Source organism: Homo sapiens, chromosome 7 (genome assembly GCF_000001405.40).
Source record: "Homo sapiens chromosome 7, GRCh38.p14 Primary Assembly".
In the NCBI taxonomy this organism is placed as follows: Eukaryota; Metazoa; Chordata; class Mammalia; order Primates; family Hominidae; genus Homo; species Homo sapiens.
In genome coordinates this window covers 92,444,066-92,467,417 of record NC_000007.14, presented here as the reverse complement: position 1 = coordinate 92,467,417, position 23,352 = coordinate 92,444,066, and the positions used below count along the sequence as shown (strand labels likewise).

At 42.3% G+C, this 23,352-nt stretch overlaps 1 protein-coding gene across 9 annotated transcripts in view, besides 2 other annotated features; it reads right to left on the bottom strand.

Moving 5' to 3' along the window:
* Window positions 1–19,936, bottom strand: part of GATAD1 (GATA zinc finger domain containing 1) — a 48,288-nt gene extending 28,352 nt beyond the window's left edge. The window contains exons 1-6 of one of the 9 annotated variants that reach the window (XR_927494.4): window positions 19,440–19,936; window positions 18,541–18,666; window positions 16,658–16,717; window positions 12,733–12,916; window positions 6,008–6,099; window positions 4,392–4,460 (exon numbers count right to left, since the gene is read on the bottom strand). Coding sequence is in view for 3 of the 9 variants with exons in the window: in NM_021167.5 (NP_066990.3) it covers window positions 10,856–11,046; window positions 12,733–12,916; window positions 16,658–16,717; window positions 18,541–18,666; window positions 19,440–19,688 (810 nt within the window). In the remaining 6 variants the exon portion in view is untranslated. Of the gene's footprint in view, window positions 1–4,391; window positions 4,461–6,007; window positions 6,100–7,342; window positions 11,047–12,732; window positions 12,917–16,657; window positions 18,667–19,439 lie in introns of those variants that run through there. The other 8 variants (XR_927500.4, NR_052016.2, XR_927503.4 and 5 more) reach the window with 8 other exon arrangements.
* Window positions 18,767–18,816: an enhancer, noted in NCBI's record as "active region_26260". NCBI's record gives its function as "activates an Ori minimal core promoter by ATAC-STARR-seq in GM12878 lymphoblastoid cells {active_cell/tissue: GM12878}" and the evidence as "EXISTENCE:reporter gene assay evidence [ECO:0000049][PMID:35858748]".
* Window positions 19,247–20,016: a silencer, noted in NCBI's record as "silent region_18371". NCBI's record gives its function as "represses an Ori minimal core promoter by ATAC-STARR-seq in GM12878 lymphoblastoid cells {active_cell/tissue: GM12878}" and the evidence as "EXISTENCE:reporter gene assay evidence [ECO:0000049][PMID:35858748]".

Here is a 23,352-nt window from a genome sequence, read left to right as displayed (position 1 = left end):
AGAAATTTTCCTCCCCTCCATGTCAGGTTATTACTTGAGAAAACTTGTATGTGCTTTCTCAGTCTCTTTGAAATATATATATGTATATAATTTTTTTTTTATTTTGAGACGGAGTTTTGTTCTTGTTTCCAGGCTGGAGTGCAATGGTGCAATCTCGGCTCAACCTCCGCCTCCGGGTTCAAGTGATTCTCCTGCCTCAACCTCCCTGGTAGCTAGGATTACAGGCATGTGTCACCATGCCTGGCTAATTTTTTTGTATTTTTAGTAGAAATGGGTTTCATCATGTTGGCCAGGCTGGTTTCGAACTCCTGACCTCAGGTGATCCACCTGCCTTGGCCTCCCAAAGTGCTGGGATTAAAAGCATGAGCCATCATGCCCAGCCTGAAATACATATACAGATATATATATTTAAAAACTGAATCAGCCTTTTGTCAGCTTTATGACCTAGGAATGTCTTTCTCAAGGATCTGGGAAATGTAAACATTACCAGATAGCATACCTATCTTCCAGTTTCTGTGGGAGGGTAACAGCCTAATCTTAATGAGTACCTTGCACCAAGCTATAAAAGTAACTCCTGTTTCCACACTCCCCCACCCCCGAAAAGTTGATATCTTAGATAACACAAGTGGTCACATCAATTATCAGGTAAAGTTAGAATGAACTGTGTGACCAGTGGTGCTGTCAAGTTCTCTTAGTTGAGGACTATTTATCTCGAAAACATACATGTAATGGGCTGTACCTGCTTGGCTGTACAAAATGGTGAAATTTCCTTCTGTCTTTGTGATCTCTTAGCAAAGTGCCTGTGATGTGCATCACATTCTCATTTAATTTTTATTCAATAATAAAGCTTATCTTTCTCTACTGCCTTCATGGAGAGGATTTCTGGGTTGAGAGAAGATTTTGTTTTTTAAATTATATTTCCCCAACAGCACCTTCACCCTTTATTCTAAAACTGCTGGCTGGGTGTGGTGGCTTATGCCTGTAATCACAACCCTTTGGGAGGCCAAGGTCGGAGGACTGCTTGAGGCCAGGAGTTTGAGAACTAGCCTAAGCAATATAGTGAGACCCCATCTCTTAAAAAAAAATAGCTGGGCATGGTAGTGCACAACTGTGGTCCCAGCTACTCAGGAGGCTGAGGTAGGAGGATCACTTGAGCCTGGGAGGTGGAGGCTGCAGTGAGCAGTGATCACAACAGTGCACTCCAGCCCGGGTGACAGTGCAAGAACCTGTTTCAAAAAAAAAATAAAATTGCTGTCTTTTTCACTCACACCTTCACTATTCATGGGGAGAAGTGTGTAAGGTATAACAGTCTTTTTGTAATAAACCTCCCCACTTCCACTCTTCTAATCAGAAGTAGAGATGATGTTATGAGAAGTTGAGATTAAGGTTGTAGCTTTTCTTTTTTCTTTTTTTTGAGACCGAGTCTCACTCTGTCGGCCCAGACTGGAGTACAACGGTGCGATCTTGGCTCACTGCAACCTCCCCACTGCCCAGGTTCAAGTGATTCTCCTGCCTCAGCCTCCTGAGTAACTGGGATTACAGGGATGTGCCACCACGCCGGGCTAATTTTTGTATTTTTAGTAGAGACGAGGTTTCACCATGTTGACCAGGCTAGTCTTGAACTCCAGGCCTCAGGTGATCCCCCAACCTGGCCTCCCAAGGTGGGGGATTACAGGCATGAGCCACCATGCCTGGCAGATTGTAGCTTTTTTGTTTACAGTTTGGTAATTACTTCATGCCAGTCTGTCATGTTTAATAAACAACACAGGTTAGTGATTGCTTTTTTTCTTTTTTTTTTTGAGATGGAGTTTCCCTCTTGTCATCCAGGCTAGAGTGCAATGGCGTGATCTTGGCTCACTGCAACCTCCACCTCCCAGATTCAAGTAATTCTCCTGCCTCAGCCTCTGGAGTAGCTGGGATTACAGGCAGCGGCCACCACAGCCAGCTAATTTTTGTATTTTTAGTAGAGATGGGGTTTCACCATGTTGGCCAGGCTGGTCTCAAACTCCTGACCTCAGGTGATCCACCCGCCTCGGCCTCTCAAAGTGCCAGGATTACAGGCATGAGCCACTGCACCCAGCCAATTGCCTCTTCTTCAACAGAAAAGAAAGAAAATGAAACTATGTAAGTTCAGCCATGTGCAGGGATGCTTTAGAAATAACATTTAGATTTTTAATTTGTATTAGATTCTTTGGACCTAGTACTGTATTTCTCACAGTAGCATTTACCCAATTTCTTTCGGATCCTACGTATGGCAGTTCAGCAGTGACATTTCCATGGTATTTTCTTAACTTCTTTAGGCCTCATTTTTCCTATCTGTAGAATGAGGGAGTTAGATTAGATGGTCTCTAAATCCGTACATCTACAAAGAATATGAATCTTTGAAAAATTGTTTTCTTTATCTGGATCACAAGCCACTATCAATCTATGAGAATCTGCACTGGAGTTGAAGAAACAAGCTTTATTCACAAAATCAAATTTTATTTGCCTAGAAATGTTCGGCTTACAAAACCTGAAATGAACTCTTTGGAAGCTCCTCTATGGCATTATTCTGATGCTCAGGGCATCAACATGCTGGGACACTCCCTTGCCTAACCTCTGTGCCCAGGGGCCCTGCCTGAGGACGCTGGCAGGATTCTCTAGCTTGCTCTGAAAAACGATGCCTTTGCTGAAGCCACTCTTCTGGTTGTCCTTTTATGGCCTGTCCCCATTTCAGTGATTCCCCTGCAAGCTGAAGCATGCAGCAGTTAGACCAGTTTTTCCATTCTTCTTAATTCCCAAGGCCCTTTCCTAGGCTTTCATAATGCAAGACACAAGGACAGATGATTATTATTTCTAGGCTTCGGATATTTGTGCAGAGGACTAGAGTTGAGAAAGGGAGCCTTGACTGTGGTAGGCCTGAATGTGTTCTAAGTTTGGACATGACCTCAGAGTGAGCACTGAGGCTGGCCCACAGGCCAGAAACCCACAAAAATATGGCTGTCCATCTTGCCCACCTGCCTAACAGTTTGTCCCATAAAAGCATTAAATTAGGAGACAGAAATCAACTAGGTGCAGAGTTTTGTTACTGCATTGCACGTCTCCTGAGTTCTCAAATCCGTATTTTCAATTATCTAATGGATATTCAAGTCCAGGAGATGGCTCACAGTCCTCACATTACAAAACAGAACACACACCTCACATCACATGCAAATCTCCACCTAGCCTTGTTTACTAACTGGGAGATTTTTAAATTATAAGAATCAAGTAGGATCTTTGCCCACGTATTTTTTTAAGAGTTTTTCACCTACCAAAAAGTTGTACTCAATGTCTTCCTTAATTCATCCTCCTCACTCAGTCTCTATTTACAACTGGTTATTAAATTCTGTTGACTTTATCTCCTATATATCTATTTTTTAAAGATTATGGTAAAATATGCATAACAAAACTTACAATTTTAACCTTTTTTTTGAGACTAAGTCTCGCTCTGTCCCCCAGGCTGGAGTGCAGTGGCGCAATCTCAACTCACTGCAACCTCTGCCTCCTGGGTTCAAGCAATTCCTAGGCCTCATCCTCCCAGCAGCTGGGACTACAGGCACCCACCACCACACTCGACTAATTTTTGTATTTTTAATAGAGATGGGGTTTCGCCACGTTGGCCAGGCTGGTCCTTAACTCTTGACCTCAACTGATCTGCCTGCCTTGGCCTCCCAAAGTGCTGAAATTACAGGCATGAGCCACCGCACCCAGGTATCAACCTTTTTTTTTTTTTTTTTGAGACGGAATCTGGCTCTGTTGCCCAGGCTGGAGTGCAGTGGCGCGATCTCAGCTCACTGCAAGCTCCGACTCCCAGGTCACACCATTCTCCTGCCTCAGCCTCCCGAGTAGCTGGGACTACAGGTGCCTGCCACCATGCCCGGCTAATTTTTTTTTTATTTGTTTTTATTTTTTAGTAGAGACAGGGTTTCACCATGTTAGCCAGAATGGTCTCAATCTCCTGACCTCATGATCCGCCTGTCTTGGCCTCCCAAAGTTCTGGGATTTACAGCCATGAGCCACTGCGCCAGCCCAGTATTAACCATTTTTAAGTGTACAATTTAGTGTCATTAAGTACATTCATCATGTTGACTACTGTCACTACCCATTTCCAGAATTTTTTCAAAATCACTCCAAACCGAAAATTTGTACCCACAATACCCCTCTTCCCACAACCCTGGTAACCTCTAATGTTCTGTATCTATGACATAATTTGCCTATTCTAGGTAACTAACTCATATAAGTGGAATTATACAATATTTGTCCTTTTAAGTTTGGCTTATTTCCATTAACATGTTTTCAAGGTTCATCATTATAGCATGTATCAGAATTTCATTCCTTCTACGGCTGAATAATATCCCACTGCACGACCTCACCACGTTTTGATCATCCATTCGTCTGCTGATGGGTCCTTGTGTTGTTTCTATCTCTGTCAGCTTGGGCTGCTGCAACAAAATACCGTAGCCTGAGTGGTTTAAACAACACACATTCATTTCTCACAGTTCTGGATGCTGAGAACCCAAGAGCAAGGTGCTAGCAGATTTGGGTTCTGGTGAGAGCTCTCTTCCTGGCTGTGGCCACCTTCTGGCTGTCTTCTTACATAGTGAGGAGAGAAAGGAAGGCTTTGGTCTGTTCTCCTCTTCCTAAAAGGACACTAATTCCACTATGCGGGCTCCACCCTCATGACCTCGTAGAAATCTGATTACCTCCCAAAGGCCCTACTCCCCTAATACCATTGCCTTGGGGGCCAGGGCTTTAACATATGAACTTGGGGCATGGGGATCAGGCACACATTCAGCCTGTAACACCATTTAGATTACCATCTTTGGACCTAAATATCTATTTTAAAGTTGTATTTTTTTCCTGACTACGTAAGTAGTGGATGCTAGTAATACAAACTTCAAAATTTTTAAAAGCATAAAGAATATTAAAATGACTGTAATTCCAACTATGCTTGTTATTTTGTTTGTTCCAGTTTTCTTTATATGCATATGTATGCATGTGTATATGTGTGTGTTTTTGTTTTTTTTTTTTACAAAATCAGAATCATTATGTAGTTGTGTCCAGGTTTTACACTAAACATTTTATAAACTTTTTTTTGCGTTATTAAAAATTATTTGTAAATGGTATTTCTGATGACAGCATAAAATTCTATTAGAAAAATATCAAAATTCATTTTCCTATTGTTGGACCTTTAGATTGTTTCTGGTTTTTCACAACTTTAAATACTGTTAACAACTTCTTTTTATACCCATTTTTTGGTCCACATTTTAAATCCTCTTAGCATGGATTCTTAGAAATGAAATTACTGGATCAAGAAGTACTTTTAATACTTTTAAGATTATAGATACATATTGCTATTCTAAAAAGCTATGTTAATTTACATTGGCCACCAGCTGGATAGGGTGTCCCTCTGTGCCTCTGAGGTGGTCCCTAGTGGTCTCTGCCCTTGGAATTCACGCCCTTGTGTGGTCCTGTGTTCACACTGTACCAGAGTTGGTCTGTGTGACCCAACAGCATATGGCAGAAGTGCTGGTATGTCCCTTCTTTCAGATTAGGTTATAGAAAAGATGGTGGCTTCCATCTTGGGTGCAACTGCCCTTGCGTCTTTCTGTCACGGACCATTTGCTGTGAGCAAACCTGTGGAGGCCCACAGAGAGGAATGGAAGCTTCCTGCCAACAGCCACATGAGGGAGCTGTTTCTCCCATTTTATTCTTTGCTTTTCAATTTAGTATATAAACTTTAAAAATAATCCAATCTATCTTTCCCTATGTGATCTCTTTCATTACTTTTTGATTTAAAAAATGTATCAAAGCACTACATATTCATAGCAAAAAGATGGCCAAATAATTCTAAACAGTTTATAATGAGAAACAGTAGTTCCTTGCCTTCTCTTTCAGAGTCTCAGCAACTGTTATCAGCCAGAATTCGATCAGAGAAACAGAACCACTAGGAGCGATATAGAAAAGGAATCTATAAAGGAAACTTTACCTTACACAATTGTTGGAGCTTGCTGAACACTCTGTGTAAGGCTGTTGCTTCTGTGTTTGGTGTTGGGGCCTTAAGTCAGCAGCGCAGGCAGTCTGGAAGGGAAGACAGATTTCAAGTGGAGGACAGGAAAGAAAAACTTGAACCTACATCAGTCTCTTACCCTCGCCAAACCTCCAATTCAGATGATACAGGCACCCTGCAGAAGAAGCTGGTGACCTTTACCACAGAGCTAAGCATGCGCCTGGCCCAGGAGTGGCTGAAGCTGAAGGAAGTCACTCCCAAGTTCTTTCCTAGAATCATGATGTGAATATAGGAAAATAATGAAATCACTGACTTTATTTTCTCAGCTGGTCATTCACTCCCTTTCAAGGGTTTAAGAACTACTATTTATAAAATATTCTAGATATGTATAGACTAAAAGCCAGCGGTTGTTCACCACCAGTTGGGCACTTATGCAAACAAACGTGTGTGTGTGTGTGTGCTTATTGTAAAAAATTTGGAAAATACTGCTTGTTAGAGAAAATTTGGAAAATACTGCGAAGTATAAAGCTGAAAAAAGTAGCTGCAGAAAACCTCTGTTGACATGTTAAAATTCTGGAGGAATTTCCGTCTTTTTTTTTTTTTTTTTTTTTTTGAGAGAAGGTCTCACTTCTATCACCCAGGCTGGAGTGGTGGCACAATCATGGGTCACTGCAGCTCAAGTGATCCTCCACCTCAGCCTCTTAAAGTGCTGGGATTACAGGCATGAGCTACTGTGCCTGGGCTCCTTCCATCTTTTATAAAAGATGCTTCTTGTTTGCAGAATTGCTATCATACAGTTCTACATTCTGCTTTTTTCTCTTATTTATTGTGAACCTTTCCGCTACTACGAGCAATCTTCCTTGTGGGTCACCATTAAGAGGTGCTTAAATAAATTACTGTGCATTTATGCATCTGACCCAATAATTAATGGCCCACCTCTTGTGGGTCATTTGGGTTCCTTCTCTTGGCACAGACCTTCTCCTGGCTTATATTTCTTGGGTGTAGGAGGTATACCCTCCTACCAAAGGTATGGCTCACACACCTGGTATGAAGTAAACAGCACAGTTCTTCAAACATCCCCAGGGCAGCCAGACAAAATCCACAAAAATGCCTCTCCCTTTTCTGGGCATGACAGAAACTTCATTCTAAGCGTGTGCAATGTTTATATGTAGACACAACACACATGCATGTGTATAAAGCAAATAAATACATTTCCCTCTATTGTTCATTTGATTTCACCTACTTACGGCTGAAGTGGAAAACTTATTAGGCCTGGAAAAGCCTTTCACAGCCAGGAACTGGAATGGTTTGGGATAATTTCCTTCAAATACTCATATTAAGCTTTATTTGTGTTAAGAGAACTATTTAAAACTCATCTTAAAAACATCTTGTTTAAAACAATCTTAAAAACAATCTAATACTAACCCAGAATGTAACAATCTAAATTTTACTTGACTATTCACAATAGAATTTAAAAGTTTCAGCCAAAGTTAATATGAATTAATAACTAAAATATCAACAAGCATTTTAGTTAACAGTATCTAACTCAGACCCTACAATCAGCATCTCCCATAAGCAAGAACCGGGGTTAGGTTATGTGGAAGTTACAAAGATGAGTAAATAAAACACAGCATCCCTGTCATCCCAGGACCAAAGGGATAGGAGTGAGGATGATGGAAGTAGAAACTTAAATGTGATGACAATAGGATAGAGATTGATTCCAAAAAGGCATGGGAATCTGGAAAGTTCTCAAAGAAAGAATCCGAAGGTGTTAAGAAAGGCCTTTGGAAGGTAGAATTGGAGAGAACAGTATGAACAAGGACTCAGAGCCAGAAAAATTGGGCGGGCATACAGGGGAAAGATTTTAGTGGTAATGAGGAAACAAGGCTGGGAACACAGACCAGGGCCATATCAGGTCCGGCCTCAGCAGGAGAAATATAAGCAATGGGAACCATCACACTGGGTGAAATTCAATCTTTATTTTAAAAGATGGTACACAACCATCTGCCAATTTATAAACAGATGATCAATTTATAGATTTTTAAAAGTCTACATTTTAATAAATGTTTTACATTGTGTTCATTTTATTAGCCATTTTTTGATTTTCCTAAAATCTGTTACTTATTAATGATGAATCTACTCCAAAATCTTTTTTTTTTTTTTTTGGAGATGGAGTCATGCCGTCACCCAGACTGGAGTGCAGTGGCGCGATCTCGGCTCACTGCAGTCTCTGCCTCCTGAGTTCCAGCGATTCTCCTGCCTCAGCCTCCCGAGTAGACTAGCTGGGATTATAGGCGCACGCCACCACGCCCAGCTAATTTTTGTATTTTTAGTAGAGACGGGGTTTCATGTTGACCAGGCTGGTCTCGAACTCCTGACCTCAGGTGATCCGCCTGCCTCAGCCTTCCAAAGTGCTGGGATTACAGGCGTGAGCCACTGTGCCCGGCCTCTACTCCAAATTCTAAGTACGATACTGTTTTGGTTTTAAATACCATTTTTGGTTAAAGAGCCCCATTTAAATTGTTTAAATGAAATAAATACATCCAAAGTAAATGCACGGTGAAAAATACATTTTAATCCAAAAGTTTTGAATATTGGCACTTAGAAAGTTATTTACAATCAATTTTACTATACCCTTTGTGAATAAAGAGATAATTATGTACGTGTAGCTACCTATAGTTGTTTCTTTCCAACTCAAACACCATAACTATGTGGAAAAAGGGTAAGAGTTAAAGCTGCTGCAGCTCAAAATCATTACAATCAACTTAGATTCTGCAAATTTTCCCAGGGTTGAAAAATGCTGGTTAAATCAGGACAAAAGAGGAGGCAAGTGAGTACACCCCACTCCTCTCCCATTTTACGTGTTGCTCCCTTACTTAACCGGCAAAGACCTGCACCTGAATTCTAGACAATTTCATATACAACAGGCCTCTTATTATGGGTCCATAGCAGATGGTTTAGGGTAGATGTTTTAAAGATATCAATGCTAATGGCCTACCAATGACTTTCATGACCTCCCAATATTCGTTTTAATGGTAGTCAAGAGACTATCAAGCAGGAAGCCTGATCTCGACATGTTTCCTCTGCGGCTTTGGTGAAGCTGACTATCTGCAGTATAAAATCTTATGGTTTGATCGAAGTCTCATTTTTGACTAGAAACAGTAAAGAGCAGCTTTATTAAGATCAATGGAATGGTTCTGAATGCCTGTTTCTACAGAAGGATTAAATTAAAATTTTTTCTTTTTTTTCTTTTTTGAGACAGTCTTGCTCTATCACCCAGGCTGGAGTGCAGTGGCACGATCTCGGCTTACTGCAATCTCCACCTCCCGAGTTCAAGCAATTCTCCTGCCTCAGCCTCCCGAGTAGCTGGGATTACAGGCATGCACCATAACACCCAACTAATTTTTGTATATTTAGTAGAGACAGGGTTTCATCATGTTGGCCAGGCTGGTCCTGAACTCCTGACCTCAAGTGATCCATCCACTCAGGCCTCCCAAAGTGCCGGGATTACAGGCATGAGCCACCGCACGTGGCCTAGATGAAAGTTTTTAAAAGCCTGGGCTAATAAAATCATCCACCAATCATTTTTCTTATGGTTAAAGCAGCCAAAAAGCTGTCACAGCATTTTTGAGATGAGAACATAAGGCTTGTGTGGCTTTATGATAGATGCTGTTAGTCATTTTATTTGATTAAGCCCTTGGTCAGTCATCTATACCTTAATTAATATTTTGTTCTTATAGAAAAATACAATCCATTTTATGAGTTTCTAGAAATAAATAATGGAGAAAAATAGATACTACCTGTTCCTAATGGTCTCTCTGGAAATTACAGCTTTTGCCTAGGAAGATACACATATAGAATATAATTTAAGTTCAAAATATATTTCATTATATTCTATCCCTTTTAATTTTTTGTTTGTTTCTTTGAGACGGAGTCTTGCTCTGTCCACCCAGGCTGGAGTGCAGTGGCACGATCTCTGCTCACTGCAACCTCCGCCTCCTGGGTTCAACCAATTCTCCTGCCTCAGCCTCCCGAGTAGCTGGGACTACAGGTGTGCGCCACCACACCTGGCTAATTTTTGTATTTTTAGTAGAGACAGGGTTTCACCATGCTGGCCAGGCTGGTCTCGAACTCCCAACCTCAGGCGATCCATCTGCCTCAGCCTCCCAAAGTGCTGGGATTAAAGGCGTGAGCCACTGTGCCCAGCCTTTTTTTTTTTTTTTTTTTTCCGAGACAAGAGTCTCACTCTGTTGCCCAGGCTGGAGCACAGCGGTGCAATCTTGGCTCACTACAACCTCCACCTCCTGGGTTTAGGCGATTCTCCTGCCTCAGCCTCCCAAATAGCTGGGATTACAGGCACATGCCACCACACCTGGCTAATTTTTGTATTTTTAGTAGCGACGGGGTTTCGCCATGTTGGCCAGGCTGGTCTCGAACTCCTGACCTCAGGCGATCCACTTCCCGACCTCAGGTGATCCGCCTGCCTCGGCCTCTAAAAGTGCTGCAATTACAGGCATAAGCCACTGTGCCTGGCCCTATCCCTTTTAATTTTCTAAGTGACCAGTAATAAACAATGATTTGTTTATTACTAGGTAGCAGGAGAAAAACTTTTTAGTCACTTTTCCAGCTAAGAATTTCATTTAAAGATACCTATGACATATCTTGTGGTACTAAGAATATTAGAGAACTGGAAATCCAGTTTTTTTGTGGTTTTTTAAGAAAGAGAATCTGACTCCATTGCCCAGCTTGGAGAGCAGTGGTGCAATAGCTGGGGCTACAGGCGTGAGCCACCACACCAGGCCTGGAAACCCAGTTTTAATTTGTGAACTACAAATGGTTGGCAACTGATTCCTTAATTGTTATTGCAGGAGTAGGCCCAACATGAGTCCATATGTAGCCCTTCTCTGGTCTGGTGGGAACTGTGGGAAATGGTGATGACCGTGACTTGAAATACTCAGAAGGTGCATGACAAACAAATTCCAAGTATTCCATCTTCCTTGGAAGATCTTCCTCTGGCCCTGGAAGGCAGCCAAGGGAAAGGTTAAATACATTTTTGACCATATATATCATTTTCATAAGATGTTAAAATTTCTAGACACTGGGAGAGACCACTCTGGGAGCAACCTGGCATTAGCCCTTGAAACATGCATTACTTTGAAATTATTCTTAATCATTTTTTCTTCTTTAACGGCTTAAAGAATATGGCATTCTCCCAAAAACAGTGATTGAACACTTGCATCATGTTTATTTTGTACCCACACTGCTCTAAGTTTACATGTATCAATACCTTCATTCCTCACATCAACCTTCTGAGGTAGGCACTATTATTATTCCCATTTTACATATGAGGAAAGTGAGGCAAGAGAGACTAAGAAACTTGCCAAAGTCACATGGCCGGTAAATGGCAGGCTGTGAACCTAGACAGTCTGGCTCCAGAACTGGTGTTCTGACCTCATGCCATGCTGCCTCGCTGTAGGACAAGGATGCATATCAGAATCTGGGGATTAGAAAGAGGAGGCAGTAGAGGAATCCCGAAGGTGATTCTGATACATCACTGCCTCTGCTGAGATCCTGATCCATAGATAAGGTAAATAAAAATTCTATATACTTATAAGCAGAAGGCTAGAATTGTTTGGTAATGTATCAAACTTGACATATAGGTGAGAATAACAGTGGTATATTATTTGTCCCTGGAGTTCTCTCCAAAAACACACTTATGCTTGTTCTCAGGATGCAAAAGTAATGATGCATGCTCACTGCAGAAAGATAAAAAGTCTGAAGTAACTGTAAAAATCTGAAAACTTTAAAAATTGTATTAATCAGTAAATTCTTGTGAGTCTATCTCACAACTGTTTTGGCAGCTTTGAAATTAACAAAAGCACAGCAGCTGCCATTTCAACTATCAGCCTTTATACTATAAAGGCCTAAGATGACATGTGTAGCATGCAGAGGCACACATATTGAGAATTTGCAAGTATGGGATAACTGGGATAGTTCTTTCCTAAATTATTTTTGAATAGGTTTGTATAAATAAGTAACCTAAATAACCTAGTTCCTGAGCAATACATTCTTGTAGTACAGTTTAACCCTGGGTCACTCCAAAAAAATCTTATCCATACCACTTCTTAGTAGATGCACATTGCTCTAACTCAAAATAACTGATAGCACTCACACTCCAGCTACATAAAATGCCTCATATTTTCTATAAAGCTCTCTAATTTTTTTGTACTTAATAATACTCATGCTTTTTTTGTTATGGACTGAATTGCATCCCCCCCCGCCACCCTCCAAATTTATATGTTGAAGCCCTAATCCCCAATGTGATGGTACTTGGAGATGAGACCTTTAGGGAGGCAATTAAGGTTAAATGAAACCATAAGGGTGGGGCCCTCATCTGACAGAAATGGTGTCCTTATAAGAAGATACACCAAAGAGCTCTCACTCCATGAAAGGCCATGTGAGGACACAGCAAGAAGGTGACCATCTATATGCCAGGAAGAAAAGCCTCCCCAGAAATCCGTGTTGCCAGCACCTTGATGTTGGACTTCAGCCTCCACAACTGTGAGAAAGTGACTTTCTGTTGTTTAAGCCACTCAGTCTGTGATATTTTGTCCTGACAGCCCAAGCTGACTAACACACTCTTTTACATAATATTGGAGAGTTAACTAAGTTAAAAAAAAACCTGTGCCATTTGTCAAACTTACCTATGATATAGGAGGCGGGATCAAATTGGTCTCTGGGGCTAGAGAGGGTAGGAATGAGCCACGTCAGTGCTGCACTCTTCTCGCAATACTGGTCCTGGATAAAACCTCTGATTTGAGCATAGTAGGGCTTTCCATCTTGTTCATCAATCACAGAAACAACATCACCAATTTGGTAATATACTCCCTGGGGGAAACAGAAGATAATCCCACATTGAAAATAAAAATAGAACATCACAGCTATGAATGAACCTTAATAGGTAAGCAAGTTTTCAAAGTGGTCAGTAAAAGGTGTTCGAGATAGTCTAATGTATCAGTGTTTATATGTTTGGTGCCAATTCTAAAGTTGTTTCACGTTTGAATGAAAATTATACATACACATACGAGGGTGCATATATGACAGTTTACATCTGGAGAAAAGATTTGTTCATAAAGTATTTTGATTTTATATTGCCGTAATACCATCCCCACTTTTTAAAAAATAGACTTTATTTTTTACAGAGGTTTTAGGTTTACAGCAAAATTGAGCAGAAGTAGAGAGATTTCCCATATACTTCCTGCCCCCACACATGCACATCCTCCCCTATTATCAATAACCCCTCCCACCACTAGAGTGGTACACTTGTTACACGGATGAACGTACACTGACATAGCATCATCAAAGACCAGAGTTCACATTAGGGTTCACTCTTGGTGCTGTGTATTCTGTGGGGTTGGGCAAATGTATAATGACATGTACCCACCATTATAGTATCATACAAAGAGAGTATTAATAGTTTCACCGCCCTAAAAATCCTCTGTGCTCCGTACTATCCCTACTTTGTTAGCCACAGTCATGAAGCAGTAGTAAGGTTAAACGGCTTGCTGAAAGCCATAGAGACTGCAGCCAAAGCTCCTACATCAGCTCAGCAGTCTTTTCTCTGTACTGTCTTGAAAATCATGCTGATTTGGTAAGAATGCATTCTACATGCCACCCTCCCCAACCATCCACTCAAAGAAAATAGATACCATGAATTCAAACCAAAACAAATTCAAACCAAAAATAATCTTTGGATTATAGTCTTCAGGATATGTTTACCTCAACCTACTGTACATCTCCTAGACTCACTGCTGCCTTTCTCTTCCACTCCCAGTTGAGTTTTATATCCTTCCACAACAGGACTACTAGTATTTCTGGCATTCAAGGCTTTGTGTCTCATTCATTTCTGTTCCACTTTATACCCAACTAACTAATGTGTACATGTCCTGTGTTAAATCCTCCCTATGACTCTGGTATCCATCCTATGTCCTCTTCCCTGGGTCTTGAGCTGGAAATAATCTCTCCTCTGAACACCCATAATGGTTGATCCAAATCTTTATGACATCCAGCACCTCCTTAAGTGGGTATAGTTCTTGGTAAGATATACTGTCCTTGACTACGGGAACAGTGTAATTCATTGCTGCTTCCCTTGAAACAGGGACTTGGCAGCAGGTAAAGCTGTAGGAATGTGTACCTCAACCATAAAAACACTTTTGAGGAAATACTTCCAGTAACTGAACTGTAACATAGCACCTGATAGGCCAGGAGTTTTTTCCTGGTGGACCCTTTATCCAAGTGTCTGAGGGTGGCTGTTTCATCTGGATCACTACGGATGGGTCTGGTCTATGCAGGCCACAGTCCGCTACTTGCTAGTTCCTACCCATCAATAGCTGGTCCTTCCTCCCAGCCATCAGTCCAAAGTTATTTATCATATAAATAGTTTGCATTTATGGTTTGTTTGTCCACATGTATAATCAATATTCCCAAATTCTAAATGAGAATACTTGCTTATCATAGGCTTACTATGCATAACACAGCATATTCAAATGTATGCTGAATGAATATGAATCCAAAACATCTACTTTCATAGTGTAAAGGCAGAAATGCAAAGTAAAAACAATGTCTTAGTGAAAGATTCCAGTGGTAGGCAGTGCCTGGCACATAGTAGGTATTTATTAATATGTGCTGTGTTGTGTACACATATATAACACCAAACAGGACTAAGTCACTGATCTGAGTAGTCTCCTCATTTGCTGAGAGGATTCAAGGTTTCTGGTAGAGAAAAGGGGTCCACACGAGAACAGCACTAGTTTAGGCATCACCAGATCTGAGTTCATGGAGTTGTTCTGCCACTGCCATGCTCCAGGGAGGCCACTCAGCCATTCTGGGTCTTGGGTGGTCACACTCTTGGCCGTGATCCCCAGTGGCTCCCACTCAGGCTCCTCTTGCATGCCTGATCTGGGCTCTAGCTCAGTGGCTGGCAGTGACCTCTTGAACTTGCCACCATGGTGCTGCCTGCCAGTGGCACTGCTGTGATAGCCACTACAATACTGGGCATTTGCAACATTACTTGACTACTTTGTTGCATTATTGTCCTTATCATTTAATAAACATGGGTGGCAGACAACAATACGAAAGTACAGACAGTCACAATAACAGGTCCCACACACCCTTCCATGGAGACACACATGGAAACTGTTAGTACACTAAACCCGTAGCTCAACAAGTTGCTTCTGGCCTTAATCTGTAAACTGTGAAGGTAATGCACAAATACGAAGATGTGATAACTCCTACTATTCATTGAGTGCTTACTCTGCTAAGTGCTTAACACATATGATTTCATTTGACCCACTGAGGTAGTAACTATTTACAATTCCTATTTTACAGATGAGACATTAGAGAGGTTGGTCCTCGTCACATAGCCAGTCACTTGCTAAAGCTGTAGAGCCAGGAACTATGCTCTAGGCTTAAGCTCTGGCATGAGACTGCCTCACTCCATGACTTGTTGGCTATGTGATCTTGGACAAGTTAATTAACCTCGCTGTGCCTCAATGTTCTCATCTAGAAAATGGGGATAGTAGTATCCACCTCATAGAGTGAACTGAATGAAATAAAGCATGCAAAATGCTCAGCCACTGATACACAGCAACTGTTTGCTAAACTTTAGATATTTTATTAACAATGTATTAAATGTTGGAAAAATAAGAGAGATGTTTGCCTGTGTACAGACTTTTTTTGTTGTTGGTTTTTCCCAGCCCTGCTGAGGAATGCCAGTGTACCCCTGTTGGGAGGAACAGACTTCGACTATATAGATTGTGGGCTTAAAAAAAAGTATACTTAAGGGCATCATCACTTGAGTTTCTCAGTCCACCTGGGTCAAGTATAAAGTACTAACTCACACCACTGTCCCCTAAATGACAGTTCAGATCCCGAAACACCAAATAGCCTTCAATGGTTGCTGCCTGTGCCGTGCCAGGCCTGCCGAGCCTTGGGGGTCTATGTTCTAATTCCTTTCCTAAGACTTCTGGTTTAAACACAACAATCTGTCACTTCTCTCACTGAGGTATCAGATGTTCATGGACTTTGGCCCTGGGAAACCTGACCTCCTCATTCTTTTATCAAAACATCTTGGAATTCCTCTCACTATGAATTTCTAGTAGGTGTTAATCCTCACTACTGCCCTTACTCAGCTCAACTCCACTTAAAGGCATTTTAGAATCTCTGGGCCTACTCTACCCATTTGACACCACAGTCGACAACCTCTACTAGTCCAAATCCTGTCTCTGTCCTTCTCATTCTTCAATGCCATCGCACTAACGGCTCAGTCTTCCATGGCTCCACACTATACAATCAGCATTTTAAGAATAATTCCTACAATCTACACTAAAAAAAAATACTTAAGATCCTCACATCATGTGTCAGTAGGCACTTTCTCCTCCCACTTCAGCTCTAGATGAGATGTTTTAATAACAGCCACTTATGGGGGAAAACAGCTAAGAAGGGAACAAAAAGTATAATCACACCTTATACAAATAAAGAGTAGCAGAGACCTTTAGACTAATCCAACATTTTAGTGGCACATTACCCACTAGGCCCAACTCTTCCTTCAGTAACTCTACAAAAGCTTACCTTGTAGAAGATTGATTCTGCAGTGATTATAGTGGAAACTGACTCAGGAGCTTTGATGGGCTATGAAAATACAAAAAACATTAGCACATTCATAGTATGTATGTGTCTACAGGCATTTTCCCAGCCCTATGAGAGTTCTGCAATTTGAGAAGTACTAAAATGTATTGTTTGGTGACAAGAACTGCAATAAAAAGATAAATGATTTTCTGAATGTTGTGGCAAAGCAGTCTATTTCCACTGCAATTTCTGCTACTATTAGCTTAAAAATTGCTGAGACAAAGGACAACCTTCTGATTATGCTGCTGAGATCTAATGCAAAGTCCTCTCAGAGCTTCACTACACATAAACATTCCAGTTATAAAAATGTACCTGCTCTAATAGCCTGAGCATGACAGAATGCAAGTAACAGAAAATGTACAGATGAATACAAAGTGAAAAAGTGTCTCCTCAAAGACATTTCCCAACTCAACTATGGAACTAGCCATAATACTCAACATAGGTTTTCTAGCAAGCTGAAACTAAGGCTTTAGAAACTTTGAGAGTTCTTAGTAATTTGCTACCATCCAACCATTTTTGAGATCTCTACTAAAGCTTCAATACATACTTTTATGCCACAACATAGAAAGTAGGCCTCCCCAGATGTGTCTTGCTTAGTACCATTGAAGAAAGGTTGCAGAGAAACGATAATGAAATAATTGCTGAGAACACGGTATACCATACTTAAAAGGAAAAAAATGTGCATATGTGATACAAATATCAATAACATGTTTTGTGTAATCAACAAATGCCTCACTTAACTATAAAAATCTTAAATAAATTAGAAGCAACTAGTCTGAATAAGAAAATACTTTGGGGAAGGGAACATCACACACTGGGGCCTGTCGGAGATGGGGGCCAAGGGGAGGGAGAGCATTAGGACAAATATCTAATGCATGCGGGGCTTAAAACCTAGATGATGGGTTGATAGGTGCAGCAAACCACCATGGCACGTATACCTATGTAACAAACCTGCACATTCTGCACATGTATCCCAGAACTTAAAGTAAAATTAAAAAAAATTCATTAAATTAAATTAAAAAAAAAAAAAGAAAATAGTCTGCCATCTGCATAAGTCTACTGCAGGGTCCCTTTGTGTTTTAGAAATAAATATGGCCAACTTCAGAAACGTCTTTACGGGTAAGTGAAACATTCCTGTTCTGAAAGAAAAGAATATCATACTGAGACTTAAAAAAATAGTCCATAATGCACTGTCCACTGTGTTTGAACATTATCCCTTGTTTATAAAAACTGAGAATTTAATTGCAATAAAAATATGCTTTCAACTACTTCCAGCACAGGTCTTTCAACAATCTCTTTTCTTAGAGCAGAAGAGGAGATAAGGCTTAGCAAAATTTTTGACTCATATTCATCAAATACATCATCATCATAAGTCAGTAAGATACATTTTCTGGGGCTTTAATAACAAATAAATATGCAAATGATGAGTTCTAGTGTTAATATTTACTTAGATTTTTAAAGAATGAAAAAAAAAAGTTTTCTTAGTGTACCTGGCCATATCAAGAACCATAATCTCTCCTCTTCCTTTCCATAGAGAACCCCAAAAAATGGGCTCAAGGTTGATGTTTCTTTTAAACCCATATTTTATATTTTCCAGGGGAAAAAATAAAAGCTAAAAAACAAAAAGGAAAGAGTATTATTAACTTTATAAACAGTGAGCCTCCTGCAACAGAGCTCATTCCCTTTTGGGGAATCTGGACCATTCCCCAGAATACTAAGGAAGGGCTACCAAGGGCAGAGTCCAAGTTCAATGGTGAGAAATGAAGGCAGTGGCAGGATACACACAACGTCATTACAGTAAAAGGCACTGTCCACAAATATCTTACATTTTTCAATTTAAATATATGTCTTCTCCCTTTTCCTTTGGTGGAGACTTTCTTTTCAGCAGCCGGAGCAGATTTGTATTTAGTGTTTCTGAGCCGAGCAGACCTCCTGTGAATTTCCTGCTTACTCTGTTACACAAACAAATTAAAGAACAAAAAGAGAAAGAAGTAAAAAGTGCATAAAGGTTGCAGTACAATCATCTTACAAGGATCCCAGAGTATGTACTTTATAAGAGCATTTAACAATTAAGATTGCCCTTTTGCTTTTCAAGAGAAGTAATTACAGCAACTAGGCTAAGTAAAACCGGAAGTTCAGCACCCGGAATCTCGGAGCTCGCTGGACAGGCGTCTCCAGAGCCTCCAAAAGGTGTGAGCTGCTTGTAATAGGGCAGGAGGCGGGAGTAGGAGTCAGTCTTGACCAAGACAAACACTATTCATTTGTTGTGTCTACAATAGAGAAAAACACTTAACAACTTTACTCCCTAAGGCCAGAGAACGTAGTAGGTTATGGCGCCCCCTGCAACGGAATACTTAAGCTGCCATTTACAATAATGACATAATAATCTTACTTCATAACCTGATATGACAAAACCTTTAACAAGGAATGAGGTCCAGCGCCTGCATTTGTGGCATGACACTGTATACGACTGTGTAGACATGTGTATATTGAGATTTTCTTAAGGGCTTTACATCTTGGTTCTTATTGCTTTGAATTTCTTACAATAACAGGTGCTTCGGAATGGGCCAAACGAAAGATCTCAGTAGGAGGTGGGGAGGGGCGTTCCAGCCAGCAGGAGCACGGCGATCGGGGAAGCCCGCGCCCGCCCGCTCCCAGCCAGCCCGTCCCCGCCCGCCTAGCACCTGGTCGGCCTCCGCCGGCGGGAGGGGCCGGAGGAGCTCACCTGCTTGCCGCCCCCGCCCCCGTTGCTCTGCGGAGGGGTGGCGGAGGTGCTGGCGAAGGTCGCCGCGCCGAAGCCGCCGCCGCCGCTGCCCCCAGTCCCTCCAGCCGCCCCCGAGCCTGCGCCCCCGCTGCCCGCGCCGCCCCGGCCAGTGCAATGATGGCAGAGGATCTCCCCCTGCGCTCCCTTCTTCCACATGGAGGACGACGTGGTCTTGCATACGCTGCAGGTGGGCTTCAGGCCCAGCGGCATGGTGGCCGGCTCGGGCGGCCCCCGCGGGCGCAGAGACACGGGAATGGCGGACGGTAGCCCGGCCGCCCCCTGGTCGGCCCGCCACTCCCGGCGATAGGAAGAGCGGTGAGAGCGTCGGCACGGAGCTGCCGGTGAAAGGACCAGGCCGCTGGCGCTGCCCCGTGGAGGCGGGAAGCGGGTTCCGCCGGCTCCGCAGGCGGAGGCCAGGATTCCCTGGCCCGAGGCACTGGGAAGCAGGACTGGGAAAGGGATCTGGCCGGGGTGGGGGGGACGCGGAGACTTCCGGCGGTGAGCTGGCCCCAGGGCCCCGCAGCCCGACCGCCTGACCGGAAGTGCAGCACCCGGAATTACTGGGAGCTTGCTGCAGTTCCGCTTGCTGTCGCCTAGGGGCAGGGTTCTCAAACTTTTTGGTCTCAGGCCTAGAATTTGCCGGGTAAAATACAGGACGCCCAATTAAATGTGACTTTCAGGTAAACGACGAACAATTTTTTTAGCGTGAGTGTATCCCATGCAATAATGGTTTATCCGAGAGGCGTTTAACTGGGGGTCCTGTATTTTTATGTGCTAAATCTGGCAATCCAGGTCTGGCGTGGTGGCTCACGCCTGCAATCCCAGCACTTTGGGAGACCAAGGCCGGCGGATTACTTGAGCTCAGGAGTTCGAGATCAGCCTGGCCAACGTGGTGAAACCCCTTCTCTAATAAATATACAAAAATTAGCCGGGCTCAGTGGCGGGCTCTGGGGTAATCCCAGCTACCCTGGAGGCTGCGGCAGAAGAATCTCTTGAGCGCGGGAGGTGGAGGCTGCAGTGAGCCAAGATCGCGCCATTGCACTCCAGCCTGGGGGATAGAGTGAGACTCCGTCTCAAAAAAAAAAAAAAAATCTGGCAATCTTACTTAGGAACCCTTTACACTCTTAAAAATTATACTTTGGACATCGCCCTACACCTCCCCCATGTCTATACTTTTGTTTAGTTGAATTCAGAGCATGCCGTTTATGGACATCGACAAAGGGTTCAGAAAATGCCATCCACTGACATCTATGTATTAGAAATTGAAATTGAGACATTTTACAGCCTAAGATGTCAAGCGCACATTCTTCAGCCGTTGGATAATATCGTTGCAAATCCTGTGGACTCTGAAGAGTATACCGATTAGAGAATGCGGAGAAAATCGAATAGCTGGCTGTTATTCAATTCAAAACTGTTGGAAAACAGTTTTGGCTCTGAGGACCCAGCAGTTGACAAACAGCAGGCCTGGGACAAGAGCAGTATGAGAAGTCAGATCGCCTCTTTTAATGTCACTAGTCAGTACAGGCCTCGCCAGACAAGTCTCTCCTCAGCCTCACTTGGAAGAACATGCCCTCTCTTCATGATCCTGGGTTTCCTAGACTTAGTATCCTTGGAAAGGTCTTGATGAATATATTGTGGTGGGAAGCAGTGGGGAGAAACAAACGCCTATTATGTCACAAAACCACATTTAGTGCTTATAACAACCTTGGAATGAGATATTATCAGATTTTACTGTTAATTGGTGATCAACGGAGGCACTTCTATGTGGACTGGCTGTCATTATAGCTGCTGCCCTTGGCACCAATTTCGAGGAGGGCTTTGGAACAGCCCTCTGGGGTGTGGGTTGTGGCTCAGTCACCTCCCCTCTAAATCTCAGTTTCCTTAACAGTAAAAATAAGTTTCCAGGACTGTTATGGGGATTAGGGCCAACTGTAAAAGTGGCTGAGGAGACTAGGTAAAGAGTGTTGTCTCACTTTAGAACAATGCTGAAGGTGTTTAGAGCCTGCCATCCTAAAATATGCCACTTTGGCATACTGATTCTTCTGAGCCAGAGGCAATGGAGCAAAAACAGATGCAGGGAAGGCTGTCTGACCACCCTCTTTCTGTTTGAAGCGGAACATAAAAGTTCCCTTGTGAAAGGTGCCCTTTCTGTACCAGGAAGAGGAGAATATTATTGCCAGAGGCAGAGTTGCCACTGAGAAGAATCTACAAACAAAACCTTACAAAAATTTGTAACCCATATTTTCCATTAACTTTCTACATACGGTTCTTCGTCACTTTCCCACAATTTGCCAGCCTTAGCCCAAGCCCCTTTGTCTTGTCACATCCCTGCAATTTATTATTTTTTGTTTAAAAGGACATATAAGCTTTCGGGCCTAGTAACTTCTATGGGTCTTTATTTTTCTTACAAAGCCTCCTGTGCATGTACAAAAATATTAAAACTTTTATGCCTTTTCCAGTAAATCTGTCTTATGTTAGTGTAATTCCCATGCCCAGCTACAGAACCAAAGAGGTGAGAAGAGGCCAGGCGTAGTGGCTCATGCCTGTAATCCCAACACTTTGGGAGGCTGAGGCAGGTGGATCACCTGAGGTCAGGAGTTCAAGACCAGCCTGGCCAACATAGCGAAACCCCATCTCTACTAAAATTACAAAAAATTAGCTGTGTGTAGTGGCAGGCACCTGTAATCCCAGCTACTCGGGAGGCTGAGGCGGGAGAATTGCTTGAACCTGGGAGGCAGAGGTTGCAGCCTGGGCGACAGAGCGAGAGACTCCATCAAAAAAAAAAAAAAAAAAGGTGAGGAGGAAGTTTCTCCTCACCTACAGTGTGAGGAAATCTAGGCACTTGATTTCCATGCTCCTGAATGTCTCTCCATTTGGGAACATATACCTCTCCTTGCAACTCATCTGCAAGTGACTCCCTCTCATTCACTGAAAACTTTGGCCCATAACTCACCAGCTTCCTCTCCACTACAAGACACTGCCATGGATCAGGTCAATATCCACATGTACAGTTGTCCCTCAGTATCCATGGAGGATTGATTCCAGGACTCCCGATGATACCAAAATCCACAATCCATAAATGCTCAAGTCCCTTATATAAAATGGCATAGAATTTGCATATAACCTATGCGCACCCTCCTGTGTGCTTTAAATCATCTCTAGATTACTTATACCAAATATGAAATAAATGCTATATAAATAGTTCCTATACTGTATTGGTTTATTATTATTGTCATATTGTTCATATATTTATCTATTTTTGAGAATATTTTCGGTCTGTGGTTGGTTGAGTTTGTGGATGTGGAACCCATGGCTGTGGAGGGCCAACTGAATAACCACCCAACAGCAGGCTTCTCAACTCCTCCTCATCCCACTCATCTTCATCCTCTGTCCTTGTCAGCTCCCCAGTCCCTGGCTGCTGTATCCTCTAATCTTCTTAGATCATTAGGAAGATTTACATTTTTCTCCTTGCAAGTCCTTTTTTTTTTTTTTTTGGAAATCGTGCTTCCTTTTGAGTACTTAATTCACACTGTTTCCTCTCTTGGATGCTACTATGGTAACAGTCAGGTCCTCTCCTCTCAAGAACATTGCATCTGACCAGACTGAGAGCCAGCGTGAAAGCCAGCCTGAACATGGGCCCCAAATCAGGGTTTTTGGAATCACAAGGAACAGCAAAAACCAGCCTTTCCCTTCACTTAGAAAGGGACTGTGAATAGGAGGGCCCCAATCTCCACCATCCAAACAGAAAACCAAGAGCTCAGTGCCAACATGGAAACCAAAATGTATCAGGAATGAAGTACAGTACCCCCTCACATACTCAAGGTCAAGATGGGTTTGGGGAAATACCTATCTGACCATCTGGCCTCTTCTAGTA